The 10,125-nt window shown below is 38.4% G+C and overlaps 1 long non-coding RNA gene across 1 annotated transcript in view; it reads right to left on the bottom strand.

Moving 5' to 3' along the window:
- Window positions 1-9,604, bottom strand: part of LOC124900791 (uncharacterized) — a 67,320-nt gene extending 57,716 nt beyond the window's left edge. Inside the window, exon 1 of the long non-coding RNA XR_007058289.1 lies at window positions 8,301-9,604. This is a non-coding gene — a long non-coding RNA (uncharacterized LOC124900791). The remainder of the gene's footprint in view (window positions 1-8,300) is intronic.
- Between the last annotated feature and the right edge of the window lie 521 nt (window positions 9,605-10,125).

Genomic DNA, 10,125 nt, shown 5'->3' on the forward strand with positions numbered 1-10,125 from the left:
CAGTCGGGGTTTCACCATGTTGGCCAGGCTGTTCTCAAACTCCTGACCTCAGGTGATCCCCCAGCCTCGGACTCCCAAAGTGCTGGGGTTATAGGCATGACCCACCATGCCTGGCTGATACAAATATTAATAAGAATGACAGACCAGTGAGAAGAGAGATGATGTGGTGGAACTAAAAACGGACATGATGAGATCTTTAAGAGGACACATTAAGAAACTATTATCTTGGATACCTTGTGATCACAATAAAATGAGGTTAGATGGGTCCTACTTCCAAACGTGGAATGTAAACCTTAAATTTCTAAGGCAGTGGAGAAGTGGAAGCTTCACAGTTGTCACTAAAAGACTTCATAGCTCACACCGGTACTATCACAATTCTCAGCTGCCAATTTCCCCAGGATTTTGACAGTTAATGTGACAGATATGTCTATAAAATCACTCCTTTACACTCACTTTTTTAATAGAAAAGTTGAAACTAATGTTCTATTTCCAATGGAAATACAATTTAAAATACCAGCCACACATAATATCTCATCAGTAAAAAATAGTTTTTTTCTATTTGGAGTTCTAAAGAGGACTCTCTGAAGATTAAATCCTATTATCATTCGAAGAAATGAGAGGATAAAAGAAAGGAAAACAATTTGGATAAAATATTTCTTCTACATTTTTATAATTTCCATGCAGTATTTTCTTTTTTTCTTTTTTTTTTTTTATTATTATACTTCAAGTTTTAGGGTACATGTGCACATTGTGCAGGTTAGTTACATATGTATACATGTGCCATGCCGGTGCGCTGCACCCACCAACTCGTCATCTAGCATTAGGTATATCTCCCAATGCTATCCCTCCCCCCTCCCCCCACCCCACCACAGTCCCCAGAGTGTGATATTCCCCTTCCTGTGTCCATGTGATCTCATTGTTCAATTCCCACCTATGAGTGAGAATATGCGGTGTTTGGTTTTTTGTTCTTGGCGATAGTTTACTGAGAATGATGGTTTCCAATTTCATCCATGTCCCTACAAAGGACATGAACTCATCATTTTTTATGGCTGCATAGTATTCCATGGTGTATATGTGCCACATTTTCTTAATCCAGTCTATCATTATTGGACATTTGGGTTGGTTCCAAGTCTTTGCTATTGTGAATAATGCCGCAATAAACATGCGTGTGCATGTGTCTTTATAGCAGCATGATTTATAGTCCTTTGGGTATATACCCAGTAATGGGATGGCTGGGTCAAATGGTATTTCTATTCAAGATGGATTAAAGATTTAAACGTTAGACCTAAAACCATAAAAACCCTAGAAGAAAACCTAGGCATTACCATTCAGGACATAGGCGTGGGCAAGGACTTCATGTCCAAAACACCAAAAGCAATGGCAACAAAAGCCAAAATTGACAAATGGGATCTAATTAAACTAAAGAGCTTCTGCACAGCAAAAGAAACTACCATCAGAGTGAACAGGCAACCTACAACATGGGAGAAAATTTTCGCAACCTACTCATCTGACAAAGGGCTAATATCCAGAATCTACAATGAACTCAAACAAATTTACAAGAAAAAAACAAACAACCCCATCAAAAAGTGGGCGAAGGACATGAACAGACACTTCTCAAAAGAAGACATTTATGCAGCCAAAAAATACATGAAAAAATGCTCATCATCACTGGCCATCAGAGAAATGCAAATCAAAACCACTATGAGATATCATCTCACACCAGTTAGAATGGCAATCATTAAAAAGTCAGGAAACAACAGGTGCTGGAGAGGATGTGGAGAAATAGGAAACTCTTACACTGTTGGTGGGACTGTAAACTAGTTCAACCATTGTGGAAGTCAGTGTGGCGATTCCTCAGGGATCTAGAACCATGCAGTATTTTCTATGATTAAAATAAACACTTTAAAAGGGAAAAGGAGAGGGGAAGGAGAAGGAGGTAGAAGGCTGGGTAGCTCCCAACTATAAAACTCATTCTTCTTGGGACTATGCCAGCATCAGAAACTACTTGAGCTCAGTCTTGTAATTTAATAAGATGTTGTCAGATCCTTTTGACATATTTATAGCCTTATAATTAAAACTCCCTGATGCAAAATCCATGTGCTTCATGTAAAGCAATTTCACTTATCGTAGACACTCTGTTCTATGATCTACAGCTACCAAAAGCCACACATGCCAGGTGTACTGGCAAGAGGCAAGAGCTCTGGCCTAGGGCTGGGAGATGCCAAGTCTCCAACTAATTAGCTGGAAGCTACTGGATATATCTCTCACCGCACTGGGACTCAGCTTCCTTATATACAAAAGAACTCAGGTTCTCTCAGCTCTAACAAACAGGTTTACTATTAGGTAGTACTAATTCCATGATCCATGTGGATGAAAGATTTGAAACTGCAAATCTTAGATAGGAATATATTAACTACTGCATTTCACGAATTTGTAGTGGTTACATAATCATAAAAGACACTCTTACGCATTTTCCTCTAATCTCCCAGCCTCCTGTTTGCCTTGGCTCTCCCACTCTTCTGTGGTTCTGGTGTTGCCTCCTCTTAGATGTTCTCTCAATCTCCTTTTTCTGTTTCTTCCATCTGGTAGGTTCATTCTTGAATCCATTCATGTCTCCCACAGCTCTCACTCAAAATTTTTAAGACATTATCTGATCCATGTCCATCATTTCCTTTATGCTGAAGAAGTGCATGTTACAGGGAAGCTGCCACTCTCTTCAGGGTCCCTAATGCTTCGTTTTGCAACTGTCACAAATATCATTATTGCCTCTTCCGTGAATTACGTCCCCAAGAGAACTGCTGTAGGCACTCTACCTGACAGCATATTCTGGGCACGTAGAAGAGCAGAAATGCTCTGTTGATGTCCTTGAGAAGGCAGTCAATTCAACACACAGAAGAAAGCATAACCAAAAATATTAGTCTTCTCAGGCTACCATAACAAAGTATCACACACTGGGAGGCTTAACAGAAATTTATTGCCTTGTAGTCCTGGAAGCAGGAAGTATGAGATCAAAGTGTTGGCAGGCCTGGTTCCTTCTGAGGGATGTAAGGAAAGGATCTGTGCCAGGCCATCTTCTCCCTGTGTCTTTTCACATCACCTTCCCTCTATATGTGTCTCTGTGCCCACGTTTCCCTTTTTATAAGGACACCGATCATACTGGATTCAGGCCTAAACTAATGACCTCATTTTAACTTGATTACCTCTGCAAAGACCCTCTCTCCAAAAGGGTCACATTCTAAGGTACTGGGGGTTTGGACTTCAACATATGAATTTGGGGAAGGGAGAGGGGGAAGGGACACAATTCACCACAGCACTGTGCCCCAGAAATGGCATCAGACTTCATGAAGGCCTCGTTTTCATTGTCTGACACAGTGCTTCTCAAACTCCATGGTGCCTCATGTCAGATGGGGACTCCACTAAAACACAAATTCTGATTTAGTACATCTGGGCTGGGGCCTCAGATGATCTCCAACAAACCCTGAGGTTATACTAATCCTGGTGGTACACAGCCTTACTTTTAGGAGCAAGGATCTAATTCATGGTGGATAGGCTGTTTTAACTTTGAGGGCAGAATGGTAATGCTGGAAAAGACTTAGTGGAAACATGACCTTCTGCCTCCAAAAAGGAAACAATGGTGTGGTCTCCATCTTAATTCCAGGCTTGTGCTTCGTCGGGTAGAATGTACACAACAGCACAGAGTCAATATTTGTGCTTAGCAGTCAGTCATCCCCATGACACTGGGGATCCTTGCTGTGGTTCCTACAGCTGCTGTTCTTATTTTCATCAATAACATTATAATCACACAAACAAGTACAATATTTCAATGTATGCTGGAATTCATCTATCTGTTAAAAACTGGGTTGCTAAAGTGATATGTACTATAAATAAAATATACATTAGTTTTAAACTGTGTAAATTGTGCCAAGATAGTACATTGCAGTAACAGAAAACTGTGAAAGTACTCCTGTTAAAAGAAAAACAAATGAAAGGAAAATATCACTATGAATAAATATACTTTAATGAAGATGTAGACCTTGAAAAACAAAGAAAATGAGCATCTGTGTTATATTGATTTTTTCTACCAATTTTATATAGACTTTATGTTTTAGAGCAATCTTAGGTTCCTAGCAAAATTGAGAAGAAAGTATAGATATATCTTGTATACCATCTCCCCCCACATATGCATAACCTACCTCTCCTGTTATCAACATCCCCCACCAAAGAGGTACATTTGTTAAAACTGATGAACTTACATTGGCACATCATAATCATCCAAAGTTCATAGTTTACCTTAGGGTTCACTCTTAGCTCTGTATTCTATGGGTTGTGATAAATGGAAAATGACATGTACCTGCCACTATGGTATCATACAGAGTAGTTTCACTGCCCTAAAAATCTTCTGTGCTGCACCTATTTATCCCTGTGTCTCCCCAGGCCCAGCCAACCACTGATCTCTTTAACTGTCTTTATAGTTTGTCTTTTCCTGAATGTCATATAGTTGGAATCATACAATGTGTGGCCTTTTCAGAATGGCTATTTTGCTTAGTGATATCCATTTGCTTAGAAATGTCTATCCAATAGACATTTCTTCCATGTCTTTTCGTGTTTTGATAGTTGGGTTTTTTCTTTTTAGCACTGAATATTATTCCATTGCCTGTAACACAGTTTACTTTTTCATTCACCTACTGAAAAACATCTTGGCTGCTTCCAAGTTCTGGCAATTATAAACTTGCCAACCATGCTATAAACAACAATGTGAAGGTTTTTAGGCAGATATAGTTTTCACTCCTTTGGGTAAATACCAAGGAGCTCAACTGTATGGTAAGAGTATGTTTAGTTTTTTAAGAAACTGCCCAACTGTCTTCCAAAGTAGCTGTATCATTTTGCATTCCCACAAACAATTAATGAGATCTCCACATCCTCACCAGCATTTGGTATTGACAGTGTGTCCTGAATTTTCAGAAATACAGTCAGGTGCTGTGGCTCATGCCTATAATCCCAGCACTTTGAAAGGCCAAGGCAGGTGGATCGCTTGAGCTCAGGAGTTTGAAAGTAGCCTGAACCACATAGCAAAACCCTGTCTCCACAAAAAAATACAAAAATTTAGGGTGGCATGCACCTGTGGTCCCAGCTACATGGGAAGCTGAGGCAGGAAAATTGTTTGAACCCAGGAGGTCGAGGCTGCCGTGAGCCCTGATTGTGCCACTGCACTCCAGGGTAGGTACAGAGTGTGACTCTGTCTTCAGAAAAAAAAAAAAAGGAAAGGAAAGGGAAAAGAACTAAAATTTTATAACTTTATCCTAACACCAAGGTATAATCATGTTACTTAGAGTTGTAAACATATCTGAAATTATGTCAAAAATGCTATGGAAGCAAATTTAGTGCTATTTGTTAAAGAACAACACAAAATATCTGACCCACACATTTATGTACCACACTTAGAAGGGCTGAGAGCAGGGCTGCCCAATATAACCTTCTGTGATGATAGAAATGTTGTATACTTGCACTGTCCAATATGGTAGCCACTAGTCACGTGTGGCTGTCAAGCTCTTGAAATGTGGCTGGTGCAACTGAGGAAATGAATACTTACTTTTATTTTATTTTAATTAAATTTAAATATTAGTTGCTCATATAAAAAGAGCTTTTTGGTGTTTTTTCTTTAATATTGGCTACTTCAAAAGTCAGAGCTAAAAGCAATTCAGACAATTTGGTTAAAACATTTTGGTGATATGTTTGACAATCCCTTATATGTAATTCATACTGAAATGTTTCATATTCCCTTTTCCTTTGTTCCCTTTTGCTCCTGTAGCTTACTGCAAATAGAATAGTGTACATACTCTTTGCTCTAAAAATTTTTACCTTCACTTTTGACCAAAATCAGTAAAATTCTTAATTCTAAGTAGTTTTATAGTGTAGTCAAAATGCATTATGCGAAAGTGGAAACTATGCACAGTGATCATGTATATGCCCATTTCTGAGTGTGTACAAGTGAAGAAAAAGCATTATATACAAAGAATTGCTGGTGGGAAGAAGAAAGGGAGGCTAGTACTTGTCAGGTGCCAAGCTCTCCTCAATTAGAGAAAATGCAGGCAGAGGAACTAGGGGCATGAGACTGCCACCATATATTTTTATACTTAGTTTTGTAAAATTATCCTGGAAGAGACAAATTTTGGAGCAATATTTAAAGACAATCAAATCCATTACACTGATCTATAAGATATAGCTCTAAAAATTTCACTACATACAACCTGAAATAACCGTGAGAGATAAGCAATAGAGTAGAGCCAGAGGGAATGTCAGAGGCCCAAATAAAGAGCGAAGAAAAGATACCTACGTAAGTGGAAGTGGACATAATAGGTGTAGTACAGTAACAAGTCAGCTAAACTGAATGGAAACAAGTGGGAGTTAGTAATAATTGCTAACACTTATATAGTGCCGTGTGCCAGACACCTCTTCAAAGAAATGTCAAGAACTGTGAAAGTTCTGAGATTTCACTCCTTTTAGAAACTAACAAGTTAGCCTGCCATAATTTCAGGGAAGCTGACAGAAGACATAAGACTCCTGGGTCAGAGACAAAGGACCGTTCATTAGTCACAGGAATAGTCAGAAGCAGTAACCAGTTCCCTGAGCCCCATTTCTCACAGATTGAAACAGAAAGAACCAGGTGATATTTGCACTGGAAGTTGGTTGAGTTACAGAAAAGAAACTTTGAGCTTAGGGATCCCAAATCTTTTATAACAGAGAGTAGGCAAACCTACCTGACCTTTGCATTAGAGGGAGAAGCTATCACTGTCTTCCAAGGCTGGCTGTTATACAAGCATCCTTTAAAAGTTAGTTCAGAAGAAATGCATTCAAAACTTCTGCTTACAAGATGAGCAGAAACACAAAAGGTCCATTGAGAATTGTCTCCCAATAAGTACTTTACATATATTGATTCTCTGGACCTCCTCAACAACCACATGAGATAGGTACTCTTATGTCATTTTATAGATTAAGAAATGGGACACAAAGTTCCCACAGCTATTCAATGGTAGAGTGAGGATTTGAATCCAGCAATAGGGCTCTGGAGCAGCACTGTCCCACAGAAATATGTGAACTAGACATATCATTTTAAATTTTCTAGTAGCCACATTTTAAAAGCAAAAATAAACAAAACTAATTTCAACAATACATTTTGTGTAACTCAATGCACTGAGAATATTATTATTTCAACATGTAATCAATATCAAGACTAGTCATAAAATATGTTATGTTGTTATAGTGTCTTTGGAAGCCAGTGTGTATTCTACATTTATAGCACATCTCAATTCAGCCCAAAATTTTCATCAAAAATATTTGATCTGTTTAATAAAGTTTGCATAAAACTTAGAGCTGAAAAAGTAGATAAACATGCCCAAGTTGTTCCAAACACACTTAAAAGCTTTCTAATGACTGAATTATCACTTTTTAAGGTTAAACTAATTAAAATTAAACTACTTAAAAACTCATTTAAACATTGAGTTTTTCAGTCATAGTAGCCACATTCCTATTACTTAAAAGCCATATATGGCTAGTGGCTCCTGTATTAGACAGAAAACTCTAGAACGTGGGCACATAATCACTATGTTCTCACTTACAAAGAAAGTGCATTAAAAACATACAGAATTTTAATTTAATTTTTTGTTCTTCTATTTTGATTGTTCAATGAAGTCACAGTTGTTTACTTTAATCTGCCTGCCCTGATGGATTATTGCAGAAGTCAAGAGAAGCCAGAGCAGAATGGCTGTACTGTAGTTGAAATCCATTATCAGAGCACAGGCTCATAGCCAGACAGACCTGGTCTGATCCACACTCTGCCAAGTCTTGTCTTTTCTCAGCTGTGTGACCACAAACATATATCCTGAACTTCCTTAACTCTAATTTCTTTATCTTTAAAGTAGGACTATAAATAGCACATCTGAGGATAAAATAAGGTGATTCATGTAAAGGACCTGACATAGTGTTTGGCATATAATTTGTGCTAAATAAATGTCAATTGTTATTCGGCAGCTAGAGTAAATTTAACACAAAAGACCAAACACACATTTAAGAGTAGATAATTTTGAGATGCCCATTTGTTTTCCAAAGAAAGGGCTTGCTCATTGGCTACTCAGCCCAGTGTTACCCTCTAGTGCCAAAAACCTTGAACAGCAAGCATCACCAACCAAAACACCAGAACAGCAAATCTCTGAAAAGATGTGTCCATTGATTCAACCTCAGATGCTGTTAATTAGCACACCATTTTCTAAGGCCCATTCTCAAGTTTTAATGCTCTTTCTTACCAGTTATCTGAGGATCTTGTTAAGATCTTAGTGAGTCTTGTGACTCACTAAGAATGAAGTGGAGCCCGGTAGTCTGCATTTCTCATAAGGTCTCAGGTAATTCCAATGCTGCTGCTCCACAGATCCTCCCTGAGTAGCAAAAGTTTAGACAATTCTATTAATTACTCAAACTCTTTTGAAAGTAACCACCACCAAACTATTAGAATAAGGAATTGCAGGATTAAGCAAAATGTTGTCGTCTTTCTCCTATAGACATGTGCAAGAGGAAAAGCCCTAAATTTATACTAAAGCTGAAATATACCTGAAGTTTAAAGATTACTTCAGATTGCTTTCTTCCCAGGAAAGTGTCTCAGCAAGACAATAGTGGGGTGGATGGGTCAGTATGGCAATTCTTACATTCCTTTGAGCTCAGAATGTAATTCAGGATCATGTGCTAGACTGGAAATTCATGTTGAGTATAAGTTAATCTGTGTTCATAGTTTGAGGTTCGAGGAACTTTGGACTAGATAACAACATGGTGGCAAGGTACTAAACCAGCACTGGAAACTGAGTCAGAGCCTCAGTAGCTACTAATTAGTAGTTGTTCTAATGTCCCATAGTCAAGACTTTGGAAGAAATCATCATCTGTGTTTTATTTCATATTTGATAAAATGGATGAAAAGATAATCGACACGTTTCTGCAAACTTCAAATGAGATAATGTGGTGAAATTTCTTTGAAACTATTGTCCCATAGATACAGATACAATTCATTACAAGTCTAACAGAGCAAACTAGCCTCGTATCTTCTTGGCATAATGGACAATATTGATTGTTTCTGGTAAGAATAAAAGAGGAAGGGGAATTTGAAGTTTATTTAAATTTGTTCATCCATTTAAAAACGCTAATTAAGGCCACAATGACTTAATTGCTCCAAATTTCTAGGTATTTATGTTGCCTCCCACAATGAGACTGCCAAATTAATGATAATATTTATTTTTATGTTGTTTTCAAACATTTGTTTCTGATTATGACTTTAATATACAACAATGCAGTCATGCTTTGTTGGTAAGTTTGCCCATTATCTAGCTGAACTCACTATGCTACTGACTTTGATAAAAACAAAGTCCACAGAGTTTTTCAAATGCGTGCTGAACATCAAACACAGCAGTCATGTAGAAGGTCTATTGCACTTATCTCACAAAACATTATCATATACTAGACATGAACTCACGTTTTCACCTACTTTCAACAATCCCCTGCCCTCCATGGATATACGTGGAGACTGGTCTCCCTACTTCCTTGTTGTTTTTTTGTTTTTTTTTTTTTTTTTTTTTGAAACGGAGTCTCCCTCTGTCGCCCAGGCTGGAGTGCAGTGGCGCCATCTCGGCTCACTGCAAGCTCCGCCTCCCAGGTTCACGCCATTCTCCTGCCTCAGCCTCCCGAGTAGCTGGGACTACAGGCGCCCGCCACCGTGCCCGGCTCATTTTTTGTATTTTTAGTAGAGACGGGGTTTCACCGTGTTACCCAGGATGGTCTCAATCTCCTGACCTCGTGATCCGCCCGCCTCGGCCTCCCAAAGTGCTCGGATTACAGGCATGAGCCACCACGCCCGGCCCCTACTTCCTTGTTTCATAGTAAGAAATTTCTTTATGTGTTTCTGTTGGCTTCTCAGAAGCTTGCTTTAAAGTATTTCAATTCCACCTGTTTTGACTTAGGATCTCATATTAATGTGTTTCCCCTAATTCACTACCCATTTACAATATTAGATTTTTAAAAAGCATTCATATTAATGTGCTATAGTTACTGACAATGTAAAGGGAAAAAGTGTACTTTGATTCCCAGAGT

Source organism: Homo sapiens, chromosome 4 (genome assembly GCF_000001405.40).
Source record: "Homo sapiens chromosome 4, GRCh38.p14 Primary Assembly".
NCBI classification, from domain to species: Eukaryota; Metazoa; Chordata; class Mammalia; order Primates; family Hominidae; genus Homo; species Homo sapiens.